This window comes from Homo sapiens, chromosome 9 (assembly GCF_000001405.40).
Source record: "Homo sapiens chromosome 9, GRCh38.p14 Primary Assembly".
In the NCBI taxonomy this organism is placed as follows: Eukaryota; Metazoa; Chordata; class Mammalia; order Primates; family Hominidae; genus Homo; species Homo sapiens.
The window spans coordinates 132,244,988-132,271,111 of record NC_000009.12 but is presented as its reverse complement, the minus strand read 5'-3'; the positions used below and the strand labels follow the sequence as shown (position 1 = coordinate 132,271,111).

The following is a 26,124-nucleotide window of genomic DNA, read 5'->3' as shown; positions in this document are numbered from 1 at the left end:
AACTACTGTCAGTTTATTTAAGATGCTAAGGACACCTGTATGAGTGACAGAAAATATCCCAAGCCCAAGACTCTTACATGATTATTTGTTTCTTGTCATGAGAAGCAGACAGAATTTACAGGTTATAAATTAGTTCGTTTTCAAATAAAATAGTAATTAAAGTAATCTTTGCCCCTCCCTGGGATGGGCTGCATATACAGAGCCCAGTTGTATCTCAGGGTCAGTTTATAAATAGACCTTTCTTTCCCAGCTAATTTGAAATTTCACTTTTATCATACATCAATTCTATTTCTGAGCTCTTTTTCTGATCTACTGAAATATTTATCTGGTGTTCATGTATTTCTACACTAGTTCTACAATATCTTAACAGTCTAGATATATTTAAATGTAAGAATAAAGTGATTAGGCTGGTACCACATTTTTAGGATTTTTCAAGGCTTCAAGATTGCACTGTTAAAATTTCCAATTATCTTATCCAGGTAAAAATAGGAAATTGATAGATGCATCACTTTGAAGGAAGCCCCGAGGTTTTGGTTTGTTTCCTGTTTTTAATAGGAATTCTTCTGTGCCCGGTACCCTGTATTGGGACGGAGAGTAAGAAAGCACTGTGACTTCTAGAGGAGTGAAGGAGTCCCGGAAAAGCTGCCTGCAGTCCACCTGTGTCTCACATGGGCATGCTGAGTCATTCTAGAGTTCACCTGTGTCTCACTGGCATGCTGAGTCATTCTAGAGTCCATCTGTGTCTCACATGGGCATGCTGAGTCTAGAGTCCACCTGTGTCTCACACGGGCACGCTGAGTCATTCTAGAGTCTACCTGTGTCTCACATGGGCACGCTGAGTCATTCTAGAGTCCACCTGTGTCTCACATGGGCATACTGAGTCATTGTAGAGTCCACCTGTGTCTCACATGGGCACGCTGAGTCATTCTAGAGTCCACCTGTGTCTCACATGAGGATGCTGAGTCATTCTAGAGTCCACCTGTGTCTCACACGGGCACGCTGAGTCATTCTAGAGTCCACCTGTGTCTCACATGAGGATGCTGAGTCATTCTAGAGTCCACCTGTGTCTCACACGGGCACGCTGAGTCATTCTAGAGTCCACCTGTGTCTCACATGAGGATGCTGAGTCATTCTAGAGTCCACCTGTGTCTCACACGGGCACGCTGAGTCATTCTAGAGTCCACCTGTGTCTCACATGAGGATGCTGAGTCATTCTAGAATCCACCTGTGTCTCACACGGGCACGCTGAGTCATTCTAGAGTCCACCTGTGTCTCGGGCTCACTGAGTCATTCAAGATTCCACCTCTGTCAGACACGGGCACGTTGAGTCATTCTAGAGTCCACCTTTGTCTCACATGGGCATGTTAAGTCATTCTAGACAAAGAAGGAACTCTTTTTTTATTGCCTAGATTCCTGGCAAGTTTGCAGAGATTGAATGTCACCATCACACGAGCCAAGTACAGCCTCTTCATCCTCGGACATTTGAGGACCCTGATGGTAGGTACCAGAGAGCTCAGAAGTTTACCCATTGTTACTGTTGTTGGATTGAGTTTTTGTTCTTATTTTCCATCAAAGTGTAAATGATTTCTGGATTACAAAATAATGGTTGTTATGTTTTCCAGCAACTTCTTCCTAGGAGCTTTTGTGTACACGTGAACCATTCGCCTTTTTTCAGCCCAGAACCCAAGTATCTACACTGGGCTCTCAAGGTGACCATTTTAAAACAAATTATCCACATCATAGGATTATTGTTAAGAAGGTATATTAAACCCACAGATGTAAAGTGCCAAAGCAATTGCTTGGCACTTAGTAAACACTCAGTAAATGTGGCTGTTATTGGCCCAGCTTAATGCCAGAGAGAGTTTGCAGGCGCGTGCTCTGCTCTGCTTTTCTGCTGGCACTGGGAGCTGTGCTGCTCACTCTGTTTCTCCAGCACTTAGCGCCTCCGGCATTCTTCTGCCAGGACAGGCGCCCCTCTGGAAGAGGTGTACGAGTTTCCAACTTCAGTAGACAAATGGTACAGCTTAATTCACTGATATCACAGCTAGATGTAGCACGTATTTGCTGTTTGTCTTATTAGGGGTAATAACTTTGTAGTTTTCCTCATTTCTCTTTTTTATGAAGTCATTGATTTCATCTAAGAAGAGCCAACTTGGTGGCTGTTTCCCCTGGTTTTGGTTCCTGCCACCAGGTGGCGCTCAGATACACCTTCTTTCTTGTTTCACTCCTCTATCACCTCCAGCCTTTGTCGTCTGTGTGCCTGCTCTGAAGGAAGTTTTAAAAGCTGTGTACCGTTTATTTTTATGTACCTCCTATTTTTAAGTTGATAGAAAAAATCTTTGTAAGTTTAAATATTACTGAAGATTATGCTTCTGATGTATTATCAATATTGACATTTTAAAATACAGCAATTAAAATTATTACATCACTCTTAAATATATCCAGTGGAATAGAAAGCAATATTATTTTATTTTTTCCTCTCTTTGAAATTGTACTTCCATTCCTGCTTGTTTAGGCTAAGATTCACTGGGGTAATCTCTTTTTAGAATTAAAAGCCTTTAAGTTAATCTCACTGATCTACACCTCTCTCACAAAAATTTCTGTATAACTTGAAAGTTTAAAAAGTTGTTTTCCCCTGGCGGGAGTGCAGTGGCACAATCACAGCTCACTGCAGCCTCCGCCTCCTGGATTTAAGCCGTTCTCCCACCTCAGCCTCCTGAGTAGCTGAGACTATAGGCGCATGTACCTAATTTTTGTACTTTTAGTAGAGAAAGGGTCTTACCATGTTGTCCAGGCTGGTCTCAAACTCCTGGGCTAAAGTCATCCCACCTCGGCCTAAAAAGTTGATTTTTATCACTATTTGGGGAACCCATGTGAAGGGTGCATGCAACCTCTCAGTACTTTCCTTGCAACTTCCTGTAAATCTATAGTTATCTCAAAATGTAGGTTTGGATTTTTAAAAATTGCTTTTCCTGTGACCATAAGCATCTGAGTGTTAAAACGTGATCTCTTATCAATTGAATAGCCTGTTAACACTTATTTGTACAGTTGAGCAAAACAAGACAAATATATTTAATATCACAGATTTTGATCATGTTTAAACCTGACAAGTAAATGAAATGTTGCTAGAGATACATCTTTTAGTGATGCCTTGATTAAAGGAGGCTTTGTGGGCACTACTGTTTTTCATCCTCCCTTAAGTTGGCACCTCATGGTGTTGATGTGTCTTGGCAGTGCACTCTGGATGGATGAGGCGCATCATGATTGTGAAGGGTGGGGTGCAGGAGGCAGGGCAGCCCAAGGAGGACATGGGAAGTAGGGTTTGCAAGGTTATTCTGTAACCCTTTTTCACATTCCGTTTAGACAGTGTTTGGGAGCCCCTGGGTCACACTTGCACAACTGTGCAGACCACTGACCTCCAGCTAATGGCACCGACATTGTCTTCACTCTAGGAAGGCAGTGCTACAAAAAGAGACAGACGAGAATCTGAAACTTCCCGACATGTCAGCTGGGCTTCCTAACTTTTTTTGTCCTTGGGCTTTTTCTTTGTTGTTTTGGGGATTCATTTGCTTTTGTTTCTAAGTTTTTAGCCTAGTTCCCCTTATGGGAATGGGATCAATCATTAAAGCGTTTGATTTCCTCTGAGAAACCAAGGCTAATAGTGCCTGCTCAGAACTGTTTCTGTGATCTTAGGAATGGATTAAACACCAAGTTTAGGTGTAGTGAACTTAGCAAAAATTGCAAGGCCATCTGCTTCACATATGTGTTTGAGCCACAGGCTAAGGATCTCTAGAGATCTGAGTGAGAAAGAGAACTGAGCCCCCAGAGCCTGGCGCTCCCTCCACAGACCTGTCTTCAGTATGCCAGCCACCGGGCCAAGCATTTTATTCTGGTCACATGACTTTCTCCAAACCTTGAAAAACTACTGTGAAGTCAGCTTATTACCATAGTTCATCAAATTCAAGAAACCATTCATTATAATATACACCACTATTTTATGTACCATTATTAGACTATGACACAGTGCCTTATTTTCACTTAGAACTTTCATATTTATTGAAAGGACTCTTAAGACTTTAGACAGATTTTTACCATATTCTTATCCATACATAGAAAATACAAGTAAAATAATAGGTTAAGATATTCCTAAAAATATTTCACTTTCAGAATTTAGCACGAATGAATCACTTCCCAATCCATAGTCATCAGTGTTGTCATTCATCCCAAGTGCAATAATAAGGTTGGCAATTTAGCATTTGCTAAGAGTTACACCATTGTCTCCAGGATTTCTTAGAACCCTTTATCTCCAGTGTATAAGGTTTTTTTGGGGGTTTTTTTTTGAGACAGAGCCTCACCTTGTTGCCCAGGCTGGAGTGCAGTGGCACAATCTCAGCTCACTGCAACGTCCGCCTCCTGGGTTCAGGCGATTCTCATGCCTTAGCATCTCAAGTACCTGGGATTATAGCTGTGCACCACTACACTTGGCTAATTTTTGTATTTTTAGTAGAGACGGGGTTTCACCATGTTGCCCAGGCTCGTCTTGAACCTCTGACCTCAGGTGATCCGCCCGCCTCAGCCTCCCAAAGTGTTAGGATTACAGGCATGAGCCACTGCACCTGGCCCAGTGCATAAGTTTTAATGCTGGTGTTATCTTGTCTTATCAGAAAATGTCTGTAGAAGGTTTTCAGGCATTATTTTTAAATGGTTTATTGACTAAAAGTCTAAGGGTTATAATTGCCTCATCATGTAATTTCCAAGGATAGGTACATGGCCAAGAGGCTCCCCAAGGTCAGAAATGCTAAAATGTGAAAGCAACGTGCACTTTAGAATCCATTAAATAAAATATTACTCCTATTTTACAGATGAGGAAACAGGCTCAGAGAGGTCAAGTGACTTGACCAAGGTCACACAGCAAGTAAATACTGTGCAGCCTCACTGCTTCCCTAACATACCTTTATGAACAGTACAGGAGCCCCCATGAGAGGGTAGCTATCCTTTTTCTTCTTTTCTTTCTTCTTTCTAAAGAGACCCGAATTCTAGTGGTTGTAAAGCAGCAGCCTCCTCTGAAGAAACTCGGGAAGAGAGGAGAGGTGCATGTGTTTGGCAACTTTCCCGATGGGATTTAATATCTTAAGCTCCTGTAGGAAACAGGCAGAAAGTGAGATGATATCTTGAGATCTCGGTGGATGAAGATGTTTTAGCCATTCGGGGTTTGGGAGGCCTTTAGAAATCCAGTGAAAGCCTTGGGCCTTTTTCTAGAATAGTCACATGCACTCAGAAGTTTGCTTTCTGAAACCAGACCTTCCTGTTTCAGAACGTTAGCCCTGCCAAGAGGTGTAGGCAGTACTCTAGATCACCAATGTCCAAAGGACCTTTCTGTGATAACGGAAATGTTTTGTGTCTGCACTGCTCAGTACAATAGCCATTAGTCGTGTGTGACCGCTGTGTACTTGAAATGTGGCTGATGCAATTTAGGAACAGAATTTTTTATTTTAATTTATTGAAATATAAATAGCAACATGATGCTCCTAGTGACTAGTGCAGACCTGCGTTGCAGTTGAATGCACTGATAAAAATGGCTGAAGTTCGGCCAGGCACGGTGGCTCCTGCCTGTAATCCCAGCACTTTGGGAGCTGAGGCGGGCGGATCATGAGGTCAGGAGATCGAGACCATCTTGGCTAACATGATGAAACCCCGTCTCTACTAAAAATACAAAAAATTAGCCGGGCGTGGTGGCGGGTGCCTGTAGTCCCAGCTACTCGGGAGGTTGAGGCAGGAGAATGGCGTGAACCCGGGAGGTGGAGGTTGCAGTGAGCCAAGATCGCGCCACTGCACTCCAGCCTGGCAACAGAGTGAGTCTCTGTCTCAAAAAAAAAAAAAAAAAAAACAAAAGTTGAAGTTCTCCATTATAGGTTGTGACCAGGTCTTATTTTTAGGAATGGGACTTTATCATTTTTTATTTGAATTTATTTTTTCCTTTCATCCTTGTCTGACGAGTAATGAATCTTGAGAATATGTTCATACAATAATATGTATTATTTGTTCAGAAATGAAAGCTGGAACTCTATGCTTCCCAAGCAGTGTCTCTTTGGGGTGTAATTATTTCTCCCTTCTCATTGTTTCAAGGAAAACCAGCATTGGAATCAGCTGATTCAGGATGCTCAGAAGCGTGGTGCCATTATTAAGACCTGTGACAAAAACTATAGACATGATGCAGTGAAGATTCTGAAACTCAAGCCTGTGCTGCAGAGAAGTCTCACTCACCCTCCTACCATAGCCCCAGAGGGGTCCAGACCCCAGGGTGGTTTGCCCAGCAGCAAGCTAGACAGTGGATTTGCCAAGACATCTGTTGCTGCTTCTCTATACCACACACCCTCTGACTCCAAGGAAATTACTCTTACTGTTACTTCAAAGGACCCTGAAAGACCTCCTGTTCATGACCAACTTCAGGACCCACGACTGCTGAAGAGGATGGGCATTGAGGTCAAAGGAGGAATATTCCTTTGGGATCCACAACCCTCGAGCCCCCAGCATCCTGGAGCAACACCTCCTACGGGCGAGCCGGGCTTCCCTGTCGTTCACCAGGACCTGAGCCATATACAGCAGCCCGCTGCTGTAGTGGCTGCTCTGAGCAGCCACAAACCTCCCGTGCGGGGCGAACCTCCAGCTGCCAGTCCCGAGGCTTCCACGTGTCAGAGCAAATGTGATGACCCGGAAGAGGAGCTCTGTCACAGGAGAGAGGCCAGGGCTTTCAGTGAAGGGGAGCAGGAGAAGTGTGGTTCCGAGACCCATCACACCAGGAGGAACTCTAGGTGGGACAAGAGGACACTGGAGCAGGAGGACAGCAGTTCCAAGAAAAGAAAGCTTTTATAGGAAAGCCCAGTGACATGGGCCAGCAGCCACAGCATATTGTAAACTGAAGATGACCAGCTCGTGGGACCATCTAGATAAGCTTGTTTTTTGTAAGGAGTTTGTGTGCTGTTGGAAAACATGGAAAATGCATCCTTAACACCTGAGCCTCTGGTCATCTTCAGTATTTTCTGTCATTTGCAAAAGCTTTCAGAGGGCATTGTGTATCCGTAATAATGTCCTTGAAGTCAGAGACTGGAAATGTTGATCTCTTAGTCTTCTATAGACAAGGAGGTCAGACTGGAGTGAATGTTGTAAAAGTTGAAATGTATATTTGTATAGCAAATAACAAAATCCTTTTAAAATTTAATCTAGTAGACCGCTTTTCTTTCCCCCTGTTTAAAATGTTAATCAGTTTTCAACAGAACAAACTTTATATTACCAAAAAAAAAAAGATGGGAGGAGGGCGGGTCCTTTCAACCATTGTTAGAGCAAGACAGATAATTATTTAACAGCCTAGCTTGGAATAAGCTGAGTTAGTGCTGGTGGGTCAGGTGTCTCTGGCTCTATTAAAAAAAGCAAAAACCCCCCCAAAAACCTGGAGTCTCCTAGGGGACACTTTGGGCAGCACGGTTATGTTAGGTAAAGTCTTGCTGACATGGTGCATTTTTAGATAGAGTGCATTGGCCCAGGGTATTATATTTCTGTGATGAGTTCATTTACCTGTTTCAGTATGCACATAGTTCCCTAGCTAAAATTCCTAATCTTCTTGAGAGAGAAGAATATGGAGTGAAAGAATAATTCTTGAGCTATCATTCAAATGCTCCCAGCATATTGTGAGCCTTGTGTGACTGGTGAGGTACAGACATTTGGTTGCCAAATGCTAGATTAGCGCTGGGTCAGCTGTGGAAGAATCGCCTCAGCTTACAGATTGTCAGACAGATCTAACTAGTTTTCCAGAAAGCCTGGGAAGCTGTGTGTTCAACATTTCCCAAGGGATTCTGATCACCAGGCAGCTTGGGAACCACTGGGGCAGGCCAAATAGAATATTTTGGGCGGGAAAGAAGCACCCGATTTAAAATGAAGCGTAACCAGAGGAGTTCAGAACTGGGAAGAGAGTGGTAGACTTCCTGTGATCTTCAGAAATCATCTACCTGGTAAAAATACATGCTGTTTAGAATATCTGATAGGTGTTTCCAGCTACTATTAGAGGTGATAGTGCTTTTGTGGGGGAAAAAATTGGTCATGGTGAATGGAGATCGAGGAAGCTCGGGACAAGGGAGGGGTGGGCTGCCTGATTTTGTCCAGTTTTCCAAATATCCACGCAGTGAACTGGAGTATCCTAAACATGAGAATGTACAGTTGACAGTTGTAAAAACTAGGGATCTGTAGTGAATGCTGTGCAGCCCCATATCTCATTTGGGGGTAGGAAAATAGCTGAAGATTCATGTGCATTATTTGACATTTCCTTTGTCATCTGCTTTTTAAGCAAAAAAGGGTTTTGTGTTAGAAATTCTACTTGAGCAGATTATAAAGAGCTTTAAAAAACAACTTTCGGTTGCCAAAAGTTTGAGCATTTGATTTCATTACCTGTGTCTCCCTCACTGGTGTCCAGACGGTCAACTGAATACTCCTGAAACCCAGGGAGCAGGTGACTTCCTGGAGTGCTTTGTCCCCAGAGTCAGCCACTGCTTCCTCTGTGGGGGTGGAGAGTTTGTCTTTGGCCATGCAGTGTGCGACAGTTCAGGACGGGTAGGGATGGGTCCCATTCTGTCTGGGTCAAGGGCTCTATCAGCTTCTTCCATGTGCCTTTGGGAAGAAATCTCGTTACTTTAAGTTTGCTTTCCTGTTATCTTGATGAAGTGCCCATTTTAGCAGACACTTGTAGTGCTGACCACTTAGGGAATGTACAAACTCCTAAGCTTCTAAAGGGAGGCATGGCAAAAACGTTGGGGTCAGGATGTCTCTCACGCTGCTCATGTTAATACTATTAACACATGATTTGAGAAATAAGTTTTCTCTAAAATGCATATTTTGCCGCCACACACTGAACAATATTATTTCCAGTGAAGTTTGATGCCTGTTCTTACGTTGTGTTCACCTGTTGGTTCACCACTCAGCAGATCTGATTCTGCAAGAATTAATGGTAGAACTAGATCATCCTTTCTAACAGACGAGCCTGTGTCCTGTGACGGCCTTTCACAGCGGAATGCAGTTGTACCTCACATTACTTTTGAAACTTCACTCGTTCCAGTTGGTACAAGTATTTGCCAAAGCCATTTCCTATGTTCACCGTGGCCCCTCCTGATGTGGCTGTCAGCGCAGCGTTGTTGAACAGGGCTATTCTTTTTACAAGGTGTGAAGTGTGGCTCTTCGCTTCGTCTTTGCCATGGCATTAAAAGAAAGTTCCCTGTCTTCTTTCAATATTAGTTATTTCAAATGAATATGTGCTACTTAAAAGCTTGTTTTGTTTCTTTGTATATAATTTGCCTTGGATTTATTGTGCACAGTTTGTTGAGTTGTATGTTTTTGTGAATTATCAGGAGTAAATTTGACAAGTACATGTGAATAACCTCCTGTAAATGAATTTTATAACAAAAATGTACTGAACTATTTTTTAAAGTTGTGCAGATTAGCAATTTTTTGCTATAGCTTTGACTTTTCTATGCTGTGAATTAATAGCTGCGATTTGGCAAACAGCCCTGTTGTCTTTGTTAAACCCTAAATTTTAAGAGGAAATGGCAGAATTAAAAGCAGAAACAAGAAGATGGACATGGATTAGAGGTTATGTATTATGAAGTAAACTACAAGGTACTAACATCATTTCGTCTGCCATTTGGTTTGCTTTATGCTGAAATTACTTGGTGGGGATTTGTGCAATTCAGATATAAAAAGTTTCATTATCCAGCCCGGCCCTCCTTCCTAGCTCCTTTTGGAATCTTCTCTGTACAGTAATGAGGTGCATTGAGGCCAGCTGTGCTGTTTAGTTACAGACTGAAGTTTGGTCCAACAGAAATATGTGCTGATCATTAGGCTGGAATTGGGGTGGAGGTGAGATAGGAGGAACAGATGAACAGTGACCCGTGAAAGGAGCTGCCAGAAGCACTGGTGGAGGGACAGGGTAGAATTGCCCTTGCCAGGGGTAATTGCTGATGGTTATGGAAGTGGAACACACTTTATAAAACAATAAACTTCAGGAAATGTAGTCAGCTTCCCCACACTTGTGCCTGTTAAAAGGCACTTGACCTCCGCCTCTGTGTCTCCTTCTGTACCCAGAAGTGTGTGCACACAGCCCACTTGGCCTGCTTGGCTTGTTCAGTATGCATACACAAATTACCAGGGAGGGTAAAATGGTGTGTTTGGGACTTAGGGGGAGTAATAAATTTGCCCAATGGCCTGGCGAGAGATGAGTGCTGCATGGTGGTCATTTGTGGAATTGGTTATGCAGCAGCCTTAGTGATGGTTTTTGAAGTCACCAGACATCTCTTTCCTGACCCATCCGCCCCCACAATCGCCCCCACCTCCTGGGTTTCACCATTCATTGAGGAATAAATAATTGAGGGACGAAACTAAAATTTAGCCTCAGCTCAAATAGAATTGATAATGTTGTACAGCACCACAAAGGCAGTTTCTGTACACAAGGGATCCCTCCATGACTCCAAAGACGTGAGTTATCGTCACCCTGTCCTACTACACAGAAGGCATTTGCCAAGTCAAATGGCAGAAATGGCATATTCGTAGTTTGGGTGTTTGAAACTGCAGGAGGAGGAACTCTGTTGCTGTCCTGTCAGCTCAGTAGACACAGTTATCTTTGTTTTCAAGCAGCATTGCAACAGAATTGTCAGATTGGTAGTTTTCAGCCTTGAGTTTTTAACCTTAGGGAGCACATTGGGCTCACTTGGGGGCTTTTAAAAAAAATTCTGAGGTCGGGTGCGGCAGATCATCCCTGTAATCCCAGCACTTTGGGAGGCCGAGGCTGGCGGATCACCCGAGGTCAGGAGTTCGAGACCAGCCTGGCCAACATGGTGAAACCCCGTCTCTACTAAAAACACAAAATAACCGGGTGTGGTGGTGGGCGCCTGTAATCCCAGCTACTTGGGAGTCTGAGGCAGGAGAGTCGCTTGAACCCAGGAGGCGGAGGTTGCAGTGAGTAGAGATTGTGCCACTGCACTCCATCCTGGGTGACAGAGCAAGACTGTCCCAAACAACAACAACCAAAAAAAAAAAAAAAAAAAAAAAAAAAAATTCTGATTGCCTGGGATCCATCCTAGCATTACTGATTTACTGGTTTGGGGATGCAGCCCTTGGTATTCTTGTGGTGTTTTGTTTGTTTGGTGTTTGTTTTTTTGAGACGGAGTTTTGCTCTGTCACCCAGGCTGGAGTGCAGTGGTGCAATCTCGGCTCACTGCAACCTCCGCCTCCCGGGTTCAGGTGATTCTCCTGCCTCAGGCTCCCTAGTAGCTGAGATTACGGATTCCCACCACCATGCCCGGCTAATTTTTGTATTTTTAGTAGAGACGGGGTTTCACCATGTTGGCCAGGCTGGTCTCGAACTGCTGACCTCAGGTGATCCGCCTGCCTCGGCCTCCCAAAGTGCTGGGATTACAGGTGTGAGCCACCGCGCCCGGCCCCTCTTCGAAGCCTTTCGTAAACATTAACCCTAACAACACCCCGAGGTTCCCTGGATACTTTCCCTTTGCTTAGGAGAGCATTGGTGAGGACTTGGGCTGTGGGCCCATTCACCTGTGGGTCTGTGGCACGCTAGCCCGCCTGGTGCCCCTTCCTGCCTCCAGGAGGACGCAGCTGCACCCAGACGGCCAGAGCAGAGCGGGCAAGATTTCATCCTCCCCGTGCTCTTCAGCTCCTCGGCTTGTGCGGAGAACCATACACACCGCCCCCGGTGGCCGTGGGCGGGACTGCAGCTGCCCCGCCCCTGTTAGGCGGATGTGCCTGGGCCTTCACTTCAGTAACTCCCACGTGTGACCCCAAGAGACAGGACACGCAAAGCCCATGCTTCTCAAAGGGCTGGAGGCAGAAACCCAGGGTCACCCCCCCACCAGGCTCCCTCAGACACCGGCTTTGCCACTGCTGAACTAGGATCACCAGCCTCCCATCCCCCTGCCCCTCTTCAGACCCCTGAAGCCGTAAGAGTCATTCCCCTGCCTCCTGCCTTAGCAGAACTGGGGCTCACCCTGCAGCCATTATTTATTATACACTCGCACCCACACACATGTGGAGTGCCCCTGCCTGGCTCACTTCTGTCTGCAATTCCTGGGCTCTCCAGCCTGGCCCCCTAGAATGTTCTTCATCCTTTTACCAGGCTCAGCTAGGAGGCCTCCCTGGGGAAGCTGGTCCCTGTCTGAAGAGGCCCATCTGCCACACTCTGACCCTGGCCCCACATCCCTTAGCCGGCTCCCAGGGCCAGAGCACAGTACGCCTTCCGCAGACAGGTGATGTTTCTTGTTATTTATTTTTTTATGTTGAGACCGAGTCTCGCTCTGTCGCCCAAGCTGGAATGCAGTGGCGCGATCTCGGCTCACTGCAACCTCCACCTCCCAGGTTCAAGCGATTCTCCTGCCTCAGCCTCCCGAGTAACTGGGATTACAGGCACGGGCCACCACGCCCGGCTAATTTTTGTATTTTTAGTAGAGACAGGGTTTCACCATGTTGATTAGCCTGGTCTCGAGTTCCTGACCTCGTGATCCACCCACCTCGGCCTCCCAAAGTGCTAGGATTACAGGCGTGAGCCACCACACCAGGCCTCTTGTGTTTTTTTTTTTTTAATTTCATAAAATATTTTCTTACAGGCTCCAGTAAACCTTCACCAATTTACATCAGTTCCTATTCCTCACCAGCAAGAGAACAAAATAGACGGCTACAGGTGAATTTGCAATATCATTTTTACAGAAGGCTGATTAGCAGTTAACACAGTAAGGGGTCCACGTCGATTGACTTCCCAGAGCTGGGCCAACACGGCAGGGTCCTAGATGCTTTCCCTGGGGATCTTCACTCCTTGGAAACTCACGTGTGGTTTAAGCAAAGCATTTCCACGGTAGCCTCACGTTCTTGAGTATCCACATCGGTACTGCTGAGACCACCGTGCCACTGATGGGGACAGCCGAGAAGTCTTTAGTTCATGTCTTTTGCCCAGCAGTGTCCTTTTCCCACTCTTTTTCTGTTAAGCTCTAAAATCTCTTCCAGCCTCTGGGTGAGGGAAGGTTGGTAAGCACACTTCATGCCCTCATCACATTGTTCTCTTTTGTGTATACCTCGTTCTCCATCTCGCCCCTCCCTGTCCAAGCTCCACAATTTAAAAACACTGAGTCCATCACGAGGTCTGTTTGTCTCAGTGGTCAAGGTGGACTCAGCCCCTGCCGGGATGGACCTCACTGTGGGAGAGTGGGACTGGCGGTTATAACACACCCAGGCTTTGCTTTCATGAAGGGCCTGCAGTCAGTCTCAGGTCCTTCCCAGTGCCTTGGTGAACTTGGACCATCTGGTCTCTCCTCTTCCCTTTCAATGACACAGAGCAGCTGGAGTTTCCTAAAACAAGACTGTATCCTGTCCTTCAGATAAGGATGCGTTCTAAGACCTCTCCTTCTCGTCATCTTTTCTGTTTTTGAGGCAGCTGTTTGTTTCTTTGTTTGTTTTGTTTGTTTTTTGAGATGGCGTCTTCGTCTGTCGCCCAGGCTGGAGTGCAGTGGCGCGATCTCGGCCTCCTGTTATTTTTTTAAAGGGAGCTATTTCACGCATACAGAGTAGGATAATAATAGTATAAGGAACACCCTGTACCCACCATTCCTGTTTCTTTACCTTAGATCTTTTACTTTTTAAGGAAATAAATGAAGAACTATAGATACAGTTGGAGCCCTGTGGCATGCTCTGTCCCTCTCTCCCTTTGCAGAAGTGACATGAGCCTGAGACCTCACTACATATGTGCGCAGCCATCATGTTTTCTTGGTGTGTTTTTAGCCCTCATATGAAAAGTGTTATACTGCATCCACCTTTCTGTGATATAGATTTTCCACCCAGCACTATGTTTTAAGATTTATCCATGAGGATTCATATGGCTCTAATGTGGTTCTTTTTGTTTGTTTGAGACGGAGTCTCGCTCTGTTGCCCAGGCTGGAGTGCAGTGGCGTGTTCAAGCAATTCCCAGGTTACTCCCAGGTTCCGCCTCCCAGGTTCAAGCAATTCTCCTGCCTCAGCCTCCTGAACAGCTAGGATTACAGGCGGCTGCCACCACGCCCGGCTAATTTTTGTATTTTTAGTAGAGACGGGGTTTCACCATGTTGACCAGGCTGGTCTTGAACTCCTGACCCCAAGTGATCCGCCCACCTGGGCATCCCAAAGTGCTAGGATTACAGGCGTGAGCCACTGTGCCCTGTCTAATGTGGTTCTTAGTTGGGCAATTCTGCCCCCTCAGGGGGACATTTGACAATATGTAGAGACATCTGTGGTTGTCACACGGGAGGATGCTATGGCGTCTCATGGGTAGAGGCTAGGGGTGCTGCTGAGCATCCTACTATAGGCAGGACAGTCCCCACGACAGGGTTATCCAGTCCCACGTGTCAGCCAGGCTCAGGGTGAGGATTCCTCTGCAGTTCACTCATTGGAAGAGCTAGAGAATTCCAGCATGGGAGCGGGCCACACATCCAGCTTCTCGGTCCTATGTGTTTGGGTTGTTTCCATTTTTCACTATTTTACTACTTTGGTGATCACTCTTGGCCGGGCGCGGTGGCTTACACCTGTAATCCCAGCACTTTGGGAGGCTGAGGCATGTGGATCACAAGGTCAGGAGTCGGAGACCATCCTGGCCAACATGGTGAAACCCTGTCTCTACTAAAAATACAAAAATTACCCGGGTGTGGTGGCGTGCACCTGCAATCTCAGCTACTTGGGAGGCTGAGGCAGGAGAACTGCTTGAACCCAGGAGGTGGAGGTTGCACTGAGCCAAGATTGCACCACTGCACTCCAGACTGGGCAACGGAGTGAGACTCCATTTCAAAAAAAAGAAAAAAAAGAAAAATTCTCCAAATATTTTCCATGTTAATCTTTTAAGTATCACATTTATTTCCAATATTTTATCTTGCTCTGTGGCTTGTGCTTCTTTACTGATGTCTTTTGTTGTACAGAAGGTTTTTATTTTATTTTATTTTTGAGATGAAGTCTCGCTCTGTTGCCCAGGCTGGAATGGAGTGGCGTGATCTCGGCTTACTGCAACCTCCACCTCCCAAGTTCAAGAGATTGTCATGCCTCAGCCTCCCAAGTAGCTGGGATTACAGGCGTGAGCCACCACGCCTGGCTGGTTTTTATTTTAATGTAGTTGAATTAATCAATCTCCTAAGTGTTTTAAAGCCTCACTTTTCTCATTTATGTCTTTAACCACTTGAATTTATTTTTGGGCATGGTATGTGGAAGGGATAGAATTTTTCTCCTCACTTCTCATAAATGCAACCACATCAGTCTAGCTCTATTAATAGTCATTCAACATTTTTTGTTTCTTTCTTTCTTTTTTTTTTTTTTTGATACAGAGTCTTGCTCTGTCACCCAGGCTGGAGTGCAGTGGCACAATCTCTGCTCACTGCAACCTCCGCCTCCAGGGTTCCAGTGACTCTCTTGCCTCAGCCTCCTGAGTAGCTGGGATTACAGGCACCTGCCACCAGGCCCAGCTAATTTTTGTTTTTGTTTTCTTTTGAGATGGAGTCTCACTCTGTCGCCCAGGCTGGACTGCAGTGGCACAATCTCTGCTCACTGCAGCCTCCGCTGCCCTGGATCCAGAGATTCTCCTGCCTCAGCCTCCTGGGGAGCTGGGATTAAAGGCATGTGTCATCACATGTGGCTAATTTTTGTACTTTTAATAGAGACAGGTTTTCGCCATGTTGGCCAGGCTCGTCTCAAACTCCTGACCTCAGGTGGTCCACCCACCTCAGCCTCCCAAAGTGCTAGGATTACAGGTATAAGCCACCGCGCCTGGCCTGTTTCTTATCCAAATTTTTATTTTGAAAATTTTAAGTTTAAAGAAAAGTTGAAATAGTACAAGGAATATCTAAATAGCCATTGCCCAGATTCACCAATCTCACCACATTGCACTCCCTTGTTTCTTTTTTTCTTTTTTTAGAGACGGGGTCTCGTGATGTTGCCCAGGCTGTCATGAGCTCCTCTGTCTACGTGTTCAGTTTTCATTGAGCAATCTGAAAGTATGCTATGGTGTCATGCTATTCCACTCCCAAACACTTCACCATGTATCTCTATGGAATAAGGACATTTTTCTTCCTTTTTTTTTTTTTGAGACGGAGTCTCGCTCTGTCTCCCAGGCTGGAGTGCAGTGGCGCGATCTCTACTCACTGCAAGCTCCGCCTCCCGGGTTCACGCCATTCTCCTGCCTCAGGCTCTGGAGTAGCTGGGACTACAGGCGCCCGCCACCACGCCCGATTAATTTTTCTGTATTTTTTTAGTAGAGACGGGGTTTCACCGTGTTAGCCAGGATGGTCTCGATCTCCTGACCTCGTGATCCACCCGCCTCGGCCTCCCGAAGTGCTGGGATGACAGGCGTGAGCCACCGCGCCCGGCTGGAATAAGGACATTTTTCTACATGATCACAACACTATTATCACATCTAAACTTGATATAATAACACGAGCTAATATATCATCCATAGTTACAATTCTGCAATGGTCCTAAGATGTCCTTTATTGCTGATTTTTTTTTTTGTTTTTTTGTTTTTTTTTTTTGAGACAGAGTCTCACTCTGTCGCCCAGGCTGGAGTGCAGTGACGCAATCTTGGCTCACTGCAACCTCCGTCTCCCGGGTTCAAGCGATTCTTCTGCCTCAGCCTCCTGAGTATCTGGGATTACAGGGACACGCCACCACGCCTGGCTAATTTTTGTATTTTTAGGAGAGACAGGTTTTCACCATATTGGCTAGGCTGGTCTCGAACTCCTGACTTCGTGATCCATGCACCTCGGCCTCCCAAAGTGCTTGGATTACAGACATGAGCCACCGTGCCTGGCCTATTGCTATATTTTTTTTTTTAAAAAGGATTTGATTTGGATCCAACATAGAATCATGCACTGTGCGTGGCTGTCCTGTATCTAGTTTTCCTCATTCAGAACAACTCCACTCCCTTTTTATTTTATTTTTTGTTGGTCTTTCACAATATTGGCATTTTTATTTATTTTCTTGTTTTTACTATTATTTTTTCCAACATAAGCCTTCCTGCACACGTATGGGCATTGTTGAGGAGTGCAGGCCGGTTATCTTAGAGAACGCCTCACTATCTGAGTTTGTCCGATTGTTTCCTCGTGCGTAGAGTCAGGTTACATATTTGGGGGAAGAACACTGTGTCAGTGGTGGTGTGTCTTTCCTGTGCTGTTGTATCACGAGCACAAAATATGTTTGTCCCGTTATTGGTGGCATTGAGTTGGTCACTTGCTCCAGGGGGTGTCCACAAGCTTCCCGTCTTTGTAATTAATCAGCCATCTGTGGGGTAAAACTCCGCGGCCGTGGGAGTGCGCTGTGGCCCACAGGTCCTTCACCAGTGCCTTGAGCATCTGTCTATGAGCCTGCCTGAATCCGCTGCCACACTGGAGGCTAAAAACTTCAAATTTTCTTTTTTCTTTTTTTTTTTTGAGGCAGAGTTTCACTCTTGTTGCCGAGGCTGGAGTACAATGGTGCAATCTCAGCTCATTGCAACCTCTGCCTCCCAGGTTCAAGTGATTCTCCCGTCTCAGCCTCCCAAGTAGCTGGGATTACAGGCATAAGCCACCACACCTGGCTAATTTTTTGTATCTATTAAGCAGGCACTCCCCCTTCTCCCCTCCCCAAGCCCCTGGCGAACACCAGTCTACTTACTGTCCCCATGGATTTGCCTATTCTGGGCATTTCATAGAAAAGGATGATACATTTTTTGACCTTTTGTGTCTGGCTTCTTCCGTGTGGCGTAATATATATATATATATATTTTTTCAGACAGAGTGTTGCTCTGTCACCCAGGCTGGAGTGCAATGGTGCGATCTCACCTCACTGCAACCTCTGCCTCCTGGGTTCAAGCAATTCTCCTTCCTCAGCCTCCCAAGTAGCTGGGATTACAGACACCCACCACCACCCCTGGCTAATCTTTTGTATTTTTAGTAGAGATGGGGTTTCACCATGTTGGCCAGGCTGGTCTTTGTGGGCAGCAAGCCACTCAGGTGCCAAGGCAAGAGACCAAGGGCACGAGCTGTTCCAGTGTAATAAAATATATAAAATAACAAGAATTATACTAGATCTAGATCATAGATATGATTATATATGAATATCATTAATCATTAGTTTGTAGCAATTACTCTTCATTCCAATGTTATAATAATCCTTGCTCTACAATCATAACCTAAGAAAAACCAGGCCATACAGAGATACGAGCTAAAGGTGCATGGTGAGAAGTGACCAGAAGACGTGTGAGCCCTCTGTCATGCCCAGACAGGGCCACCAGAGGGCTCCTTGGTCTAGCGGTAACGCCAGCGTCTGGGAAGACACCCGTTGCCAAGCGGACCGTGGTCTAGCGGTAGCGTCAGTGCCAAGGAAAAGCACCCGCTACTTAGCAGACCGGGAAAGGGAGTCTCCCTCTCCCCGGGAGAGTTTAGAGAAGACTCTGCTCCACCACCTCTCGTGGAGGGCCTGACTGATGTCAGGCCCACCCGCAGTTATCCGGAGGCCTAACCATCTCCCTGTGATGCTGTGCTTCAGCAGTCACTCTCCTGTTTCACTTTTATGTTCCACTCTGTACACCTGGCTCTGCCCTCTAGATAGCAGTGGCAAAATTAGTGAAAGTATTAAAGTCTTTGATCTTTCTGAAAAGAGCATAGAAGAAATAATGATGTAAGCTGTCCTCTCTCTTTCTGCCTCGGCTACCTAACAGGGAAGGGCCCCCTATCCGGTGGACACGTGACTCACATGACCTTATCAATCATTAGAGATGACTCACACTCTTTACCCTGCCCCTTTTGCTTTGTATCCAATAAATAACAGCGCAGGCAGGCATTCAGGGCCACTACCGGTCTCCATGTCTTGGTGGTAGTGGTCCACCGGGTCCAGCTGTCTTTTCTTCTATCTCTTTGTCTTGTGTCTTTATTACTACAATCTCTCATCTCTCCACACAGGGAGAAAAACCCACAGATCCTGTAGGGCTGGTCCCTACAGGTCTTGAACTCCTGACCTCAGGTAATCCTCCTGCCTCGGTCTCCCAAAGTGCTGGGATTATAGGCGTGAGCCACCGCGCCCAGCCGGCATAATGTTTTTAAGTTCACCCACATCGTAGGTGTATCAGTGCTTCATGCCTTTTTCTGACTGAATCACAGTCCACTGTGTGGCTGTACAGCATTTTGTTTATCCATTCATTAGTTGATGGATAGTTGATGGACAATTTATTTCCCAAATGTGGCTTTTGTGCTGTTTTCCCAGTAGCCTTTGGTTATTGTGAATCGTGCCACTGTGAGCATTTGTGTACAAGCTTTTGTTTGAATACCTTCTTTCCATTCTTTGAGGACCTGTACTAGGAGCAGAACTGCTGGATCTTATGTGAATTCTGTTTGACTTTTTGAAGAATTGGTCCCCATGATTTTAAAGATAGACAAGGTAGTTGTCAATGTTTGAAAATCCAAAGGTTGACATTAAACTTGAGATTTCTGGTTTTTCTTGAAACATCTAGAGCAGGGGTCCCCAACCCCCAGGCCACAGACCAGTACCGGTCCATGGCCTGCTAGGAATGGGGCCACACAGCAGGAGGCGAGTGGCAAGTGAGCATCACTGCCTGAGCTCCACCTCCTGCCAGATTCATAGGACATGAACCCTATTGTCAACTGTGCATTCAAGGGATCTAGGTTGCATGCTGCTTATGAGAATCTAATGCCTGATGATCTGAGATGGAACAGTTTCACCTGAAAACCATCCCCCACTCTGATTATTTATCGGAAAATTGTCTTCCACGAAACTTGTCCCCAGGGAAATGCTGATCTAAAGAACCAGCAACACCAGGGCTTACGTCCCCCTGACACGTCAGTCTGAACTGAGGCTGCTTCTCACTCAAGACTTCCCTTGGCTGCCCCAGTGGCTGGCACAGGGCTGTCCAGCGTGGCACGCACAGCAGTACACATTTGCCGTTGGCCAAGCAGGCAGCTGGCTGGCTGGGGGTGGGCCCAAATGTCTCCACTCATAGGTTTCCTGCTACCCCAGAGCTCTGCCCCTATGTGCACCATGGGACTGTGGGTATTTGTGGCCGGTCTTCCAAGAGGGGTCACAGAGGCTGCCTGATAGCTTCTGTGGCCCCAGGGGGCCCCAGGAGGTGAGGCTGGGTATCTCCAGCCCTGCTCAGGGCCTCCCCAACCCCGCCATGGGCTTAAGGGGCGTGCCCCCCAGAGCCTGCACACTCCTTCTAGGCCACCCAGGATCAGAGCCTGGGTAGGGTGACTGGTTGGGGAAGCCAGGCCCAGCCACCCCACCACGTGCTGGCCACAGCTGGAGGAGTCCAAGGGTACAGATTTGAGCCCAGCCTTTCAGGTCACTGTGAAGGGATTGCTTGTCTAGGACTGGCTGAACTTTATTCAACAGCTTGATGGGCGGCTTTAAATATCCAGACACGTGGTACAGGAGCCTCCATCTGTGCTCTTGTCCTAGCCCTGGAAATGCAGGGGGCGCCGTGTTGACACCCAGAGGTCGGGATCCTGGTCTCCGGGGTTAGCGCTGCCTGGCTGTGTAAAACTCGAGTCACAGGTCTCAAAGCCACCCCGTCAAAGGCATTGTCCAGGCCTGTACTCCCCAGCACTGCAAGCCTGGCCTGGGCTGTGGGGGCCACCAGGAGCCCCGTCCTCAACTTATAGGCCCATCTTCTCCACGGGTCCCTTGCAGGCTCAGCTTCTTGGGAATTGGCCCTGCCTGGCCCTCATGTTCCTGCTGGGCCAAGCCAGGGGGCCCATGCGTCCTTTCTTGGGCATGGGGAGACCTCTGAAGGCAGGTGGCACAGTCAGCTGTGCCTGCTAGAAGGGCGCTGGAAACTCCATTTCCTGGTTCCCAACTGTCCCATTCACGCCCCACCTCCCCAGTCCTGTGAGCCTCCCTCTGCCCTCATCCCCTACCCCCCAAACAACCCCATCCCCAATCTTAAGCCCTCTGTGGGCAGGAGGGGAAAGGGGAAGGAGGTGTCCGGGTGTTTGAGGAACAGGCACCGAGGTTTCTGGGGCCTGCTGAGTCAGGCCGGGCTTGGCCAGGTGAGGGTGGTGGGGTGGGCAGGGGCTTCGGGAGTCTTCCTGGTCCTTCTTGTTGGCACAAAAGCTTGGGCCCCTCTGCAGATTACAAAGAATCTCAATCCTGCCTGGTGTGTAAGGCAGGTGGCAGCGAGGGGCCCACCGGGAGCTCCGGGAGGGCAGAGCCTGTGTCTGTCTGGTTCACTGGGCCAGGCTGGTCACGTTGAGGTGCTCAGGAATATGATGAGTGAGAAAGGAGGTGTGAGTGAGCCTGAACCCTCCTAGCAGGTTTTGGGGAGGGGGCACAGAGGAAACAAAGCAATCACAGCAGCTGACACTTAGGGATGGCTGACTTGGTGCCAGGCCCTGTTCTAAACACTGCGCGGCTCAACTCATTCACTCCTCACAACGGCCCCACCCTGCAGGCGCTATTTTTAACATCCCCATTTCACAGATGAGATGGCCAAGGCACAGAGAGACTGAGGAACTTGCCCAAGGATGTATAGTTGGCAGGTGTGGGGTACAGCTTCAAGCCCAAATCAGGTTCCAGAGCTCACCGTCCTTCTGCCTGAGGAGCTGCCCTCCCCTTCAGGGGCAGAAATGCGGGCACTGGGTCAGCAGTGAAAGGCACGAGCTCCCAGGACTCTGGGCCTCACTCCAGCTACTCCTGGCTGGGTCCCAAGGGCCACCTGCTCCATCATCCAGGGAGAGAGCCTCTGGCTGGAAGCCATCTGGAGCACTTTGGCCGCAGGTGCCTCCACCTGGCCGCCCCTGTGGGGCAGCAAGGTCTCCTGTGCCACCAGGAGCACAGGCACTGGGCCAGACCCTGAGGTGTCAGAAGGGTACATGGCAACCCCCTGCCCTGGGAGCCAGAGTCCCACTGCCAGCCGGCCCAGGCTGGGAGGGGAAGAGGGTGAGAGGCTGGGCAAAAAATGAAAGGTGGGGCTTTGCATTTCTTTTTGTTTTTTTTTGAGACGGAGTCTCCCTCTGTCACCCAGAGGAGTGCAGTGGCATGATCTAGGCTCACTGCGACCTCCGCCTCCCGGGTTCAAGCGATTCTCCTGCCTCAGCCTCCCGAGTAGCTGGGATTACAGGCACCTGCCACCACGCCCAGCTAATTTTTGTATTTTTAGTAGAGACGGGGTTTTGCCATGTTGGCCAGGCTAGTCTGGAAGTCCTGACCTCAAGTGATGCGCCCGCCTTGGACTCCCAAAGTGTTAGGATTACAGGCATGAGCCACTGTGCCTGGCCTTGCATTTCTTTTTTCTTTTATTATTATTATTATTTTTGAGATGGAGTCTCACTCTTGTCACCTAGGCTGGAGTGCAATGGCATGATCTCAGCTCACTGCAACCTCTGCCTCCTGAGTTCAAGCGATTCTCCTGCCTCAGCCCCCTGAGTAGCTGGGATTACAGGCACCTGCAGCCACGCCCAGCTATTTTTTATATTTTTAGTAGAGAAGGGGGTTTCACCTTGTTGGCCAGGTTGGTCTCGAACTCCTGACCTCAGGAGATCCATCCACCTCGGCCTCCCAAAGTGCTGGGATTGTGGGCGTGAGCCACCACGCCCGGCCTCTCTTTTATTTTAAAAGGCCTCCTTTGATAGTCTAGATACAGTGCTAAGTTTTATATAGCAGGCTAAAGAAGGATGTGTATACGATGAGGCCATTGTTGTTAAAAATAAATAAGATAAATAAATAAAGGGAAAAAATAAAATAAAAAAAGGTGCAGGGCTGTGCAGCCTGCCCAAGAGAGTGCATTTGAATCCTGGCCTCTGGCTCTTCCTGGCTGTGCGACCCCGGGCAACTTACACACCCGCTCCGTGGTGGACATTCTTTCTTTGTTTTCTTCCTCTGGTTGAGGAAACAGAGCCCACCCCCCCTTGCTGGAGTGGCAAATGCTGGACTGGAGGGTGCGGGTGCGTGGTGGGGGCTGTGGTGGGGAGGCCAGCAGGGGGTAGCCCTGGGGGTGAGGGATGTGCCCAGGGCAGCGCCCAAGGCAGCATCTGAAGCTCTGGCTCTCCAGCCACCCTGGGCGGGATACTGGGTGCCCTTCCTGACTCCACTTTACCTCCTCTTTTTTGTTTTTTTGTTTGTTTTTGAGATGGAGTTTTGCTCTTGTTGCCCAGGCTGGAGTGCAGTGGCACAATCTCAGCTCACTGCAACCTCTGCCTCCCAGGTTCAAGCGATTCTCCTGCCTCAGCTTCCTGAGTAGCTGGGATTACAGGCATGCACCACCATGCCCAGCTAATTTTGTATTTTTAGCAGAAACGGGGTTTCTCTATGTTGGTCAGGCTGGTCTCGAACTCCTGACCTCAGGTGATCCACCCACCTCAGCCTCCCAAAGTGCTGGGATTAGAGGCATGAGCCACTGAGCCCAGCTGTTTGTTTTTTTGAGACGGAGTCTTGCTCTTTGCCCGGGCTGGAGTACAGCGGCGTGATCTCGGCTCACTGCAACCTCCGTCTCCTGGGTTCAAGGGATTCTCCTGCCTCAGCCTCCCAAGTTGGGGGGGGGACTATAGGCATCTGCCACCACACCCAGCTAGTTTTTATTTTTATTATTATTATTTTTTTGAGACGGAGTCTTGCTTTGTTGCCCAGATTGGAGTGCAGTGGCGCGATCTCGGCTCACTGTAACCTCCACCTCCCAGGTTCAACGGATTCTCCTGCCTCAGCCTCCCAGGTATCTGGGATTACAGGTGCCCACCACCACGCCTGGCTAATTTTTATATTTTCAGTAGAGACGGGGTTTCGCCATGTTGGCCAGGCTGGTCTCGAACTCCTGACCTCAGGTGATCTGCCTGCCTTGGCCTCCCAAAGTGCTGGGATTACAGGTGTGAGCCACCGCGTGGCCCACTTTCCCTACTCTTACCTTGTTCTCCTGACATGTGTCTGAGGGGTCTGTGATCCTTTAATCTCCTCTGCCTCTTAAATCACCTGGTGTTTTGTTTCGGTGCTTGTGGCTAAGGTCCCTGGCCAGGACGCTTTCAGAGCCCTGGTATGTGGAGCTGTAAGATGGCCATATTATATTAATTGATCCCACGCTCAGCATCACTGAAGGGACCCTTGAAATAAGGCATGTCCAGCCTCAGTGCTAGGGCTTAGCAATTGCAGGGGTGGGGGGCGATGTCTGAGTGTGGGTTTTATTTTATGGAAAAACACTAGAAATATCTATCAGAAAACATTAACAGTTATGCTGGACGTGGTGGCTCACACCTGTAATCCTAGCACTTTGGAAGGCTGAGGAGTGAGGATGGCTTGAGCCCAGGGATTCGAGACTAGCCTGGAAAACATAGTAAAACTCCGCCTCTACCAAAAATATGAAAAATTAGCTGGACGTGGTGGTGCACAGCTGCAGTTCCCCCTACTCCAGAGGCTGAGGTGGGATGATGGTTTGAGCCCAGGAGGTGGAGGTTGCGGTGAACCGAGATCGTGCCACTGCACTCCAGCCAGGGCAACAGAGCGAGACTCCGTCTCAAAAAAAAAAAAAAAAAGTATTAACAGTTATTAGCTCTGGATGAAGAATTGTGGGTGAGTTTAATAGAAAAATTATTATGATTTTGCTTTTCTGTATTTTCGAACTTTCCTACAAGTTGTGACAGGTGGTTTAAACGGAAAAATAAATAAGTAATGTTTTTCTTCCTGGGGCCTTTCCCTTAACTCTTCTGGCTGGGATGTGCCGGGATGGACCAGGCCCCTGGGGAGACAGGGAGGCGGGCTCAGGTCTGCCGGGAGATGCTGCTGGCTGCTCCCCAAGCTCCCATAAATGCCTCGTAACTGTAAGGCATGAGCTGGGCAGGAAATGCCGACGCAGCAATTCTGCTTATTTAGGGGAGTGGGTGGGGGCAGGGGACAGGCCATGCTGCCGCAGAGGGCCAGGGGAGGCGTTTCCCCTGACAGCAGAGCGGTTCAGAGGAAGCTGGGCTCCCCAGGGTTCCTTGCTCAGCCTGACCTGGCTGTGGGCGCCAAAGGAGGCAGGCAGCTGGAGGCATGGAGGTGGGGGGGCAGCTGCAGCCGCCCGCCGGGGAGTGGATGCCCAATGCCTGCCCAGGGCTGCCTGGCCTGGGGGTGAAACACTGGGCTCTGGAGTCAGGCAGCCCTGGGTTCAACTCTCCTCTCTGCTTCTTAGAAACTGTGACCCCAGGCAAGTGACTTTGCCTCTCCCAGCCTTCACTTACCCTCTGTAAAATGGGCATGACCATCCTTTCCTCCTGAGGCAGCGAGTCTCAATCTAGGACGATTTTGCCCCCAATTTGGCAATTACTGGAGGCACTTTGAGTTGCAACAACTGGGGACGGTGCACATTGAAGTGCCACATGGAAGCCAGTGATGGTGCTGCACATCCCACGTGCACAGGGCAGCCCCCACGCCCTACCATGGAGAATTACCCAGCCCCCCAGGTCAATGGTGCTGAGGCTGAAAACCTTGCCCTAGGGTGCAGGTGAGGGTTGATGCAGTAATGTAAGCGCAGCGCCTGGGGATGCGGTGATGATGATCCAAGGCGCACAATGGGAGCCTTTTCCTCCTCACCTCCCAGAACCAGGTGTCAAAATATGAGCTCTGGGGACAAGGGTGTGCCATTTGAAAAGAGGATGGCCTAGGACTTTTGGCTCTGCTGACCTCGTTTTCTCCTCCTGCTGCCTGGAAGATGTCAGAGTTTTTCCAAATGGCCACTGGCAACATTCCCTCCACCCTCCGGGGAGGTCAGGGCCTGAGTGTGTCCCCGGGGACTGGGGCTGCCATTCTGATTTACAAAGAGCTCCACCTCCCCAGCCCTGAATGCACAGGCCGGTGCCAGAAAAGCTGACGCAGTGTGGGCCCAGCTGACGGAGGTCAAGGAGGACAGAGTGACTGCCCACAGAGGCCCCCCACCTCCCAGACCCCTCGAGGGTGTTCGGGGACACACCCAGGGTGACATAAAGAGGCATGCCCTCTGCACCACCGTGTGGGCCTCTTCACAGCCCCCAGCCGCCCACCTTCTGCACCAGGGGCTTCTACTGCAGCCCCCATGCCAGCCTGGCACTGGTGCCTGACAGAGGGTGGCCCACTTGCCTCCAG

At 48.2% G+C, this 26,124-nt stretch overlaps 1 protein-coding gene across 9 annotated transcripts in view, besides 7 other annotated features; it reads left to right on the top strand.

The window, feature by feature from the left end:
- Positions 1 to 9,756, top strand: part of SETX (senataxin) — a 95,389-nt gene extending 85,633 nt beyond the window's left edge. For 5 of the 9 annotated variants that reach the window (XM_005272172.4, XM_011518404.4, NM_001351528.2 and 2 more), the window contains 3 exons: positions 1,410 to 1,497; positions 1,623 to 1,709; positions 6,127 to 9,756. In XM_005272172.4, the coding sequence (XP_005272229.1) occupies positions 1,410 to 1,497; positions 1,623 to 1,709; positions 6,127 to 6,873 (922 nt within the window). In that variant the 3' untranslated portion in view covers positions 6,874 to 9,756. The other 4 variants (NM_015046.7, XM_047423023.1, NM_001351527.2 and 1 more) reach the window with 2 other exon arrangements.
- Positions 457 to 1,442: an enhancer, noted in NCBI's record as "H3K27ac hESC enhancer chr9:135145057-135146042 (GRCh37/hg19 assembly coordinates)". NCBI's record gives its function as "activates a minimal SCP1, AML or CMV promoter by ChIP-STARR-seq in naive H9 embryonic stem cells {active_cell/tissue: H9 hESC(naive)}" and the evidence as "EXISTENCE:reporter gene assay evidence [ECO:0000049][PMID:30033119]".
- Positions 457 to 2,429: a biological region, named in NCBI's record as "P300/CBP strongly-dependent group 1 enhancer GRCh37_chr9:135144739-135145938".
- Positions 561 to 1,760: an enhancer, noted in NCBI's record as "P300/CBP strongly-dependent group 1 enhancer chr9:135144739-135145938 (GRCh37/hg19 assembly coordinates)". NCBI's record gives its function as "activates an origin of replication core promoter dependent on BRD2, BRD4, P300/CBP, MED14 and CDK7 cofactors, with strong dependence on P300/CBP, by STARR-seq in HCT116 cells {active_cell/tissue: HCT116}" and the evidence as "EXISTENCE:reporter gene assay evidence [ECO:0000049][PMID:35650434]".
- Positions 1,182 to 1,356: a silencer, noted in NCBI's record as "fragment chr9:135145143-135145317 (GRCh37/hg19 assembly coordinates)". NCBI's record gives its function as "represses an EF-1alpha promoter that drives an FKBP-Casp9 reporter gene in an ReSE screen in phorbol 12-myristate 13-acetate-treated (for megakaryocytic differentiation) K562 erythroleukemia cells {active_cell/tissue: K562(+PMA)}" and the evidence as "EXISTENCE:reporter gene assay evidence [ECO:0000049][PMID:32094911]".
- Positions 1,443 to 2,429: an enhancer, noted in NCBI's record as "H3K27ac hESC enhancer chr9:135144070-135145056 (GRCh37/hg19 assembly coordinates)". NCBI's record gives its function as "activates a minimal SCP1, AML or CMV promoter by ChIP-STARR-seq in naive H9 embryonic stem cells {active_cell/tissue: H9 hESC(naive)}" and the evidence as "EXISTENCE:reporter gene assay evidence [ECO:0000049][PMID:30033119]".
- Positions 25,081 to 25,586: an enhancer, noted in NCBI's record as "H3K4me1 hESC enhancer chr9:135120913-135121418 (GRCh37/hg19 assembly coordinates)". NCBI's record gives its function as "activates a minimal SCP1, AML or CMV promoter by ChIP-STARR-seq in naive H9 embryonic stem cells {active_cell/tissue: H9 hESC(naive)}" and the evidence as "EXISTENCE:reporter gene assay evidence [ECO:0000049][PMID:30033119]".
- Positions 25,587 to 26,092: an enhancer, noted in NCBI's record as "H3K4me1 hESC enhancer chr9:135120407-135120912 (GRCh37/hg19 assembly coordinates)". NCBI's record gives its function as "activates a minimal SCP1, AML or CMV promoter by ChIP-STARR-seq in naive H9 embryonic stem cells {active_cell/tissue: H9 hESC(naive)}" and the evidence as "EXISTENCE:reporter gene assay evidence [ECO:0000049][PMID:30033119]".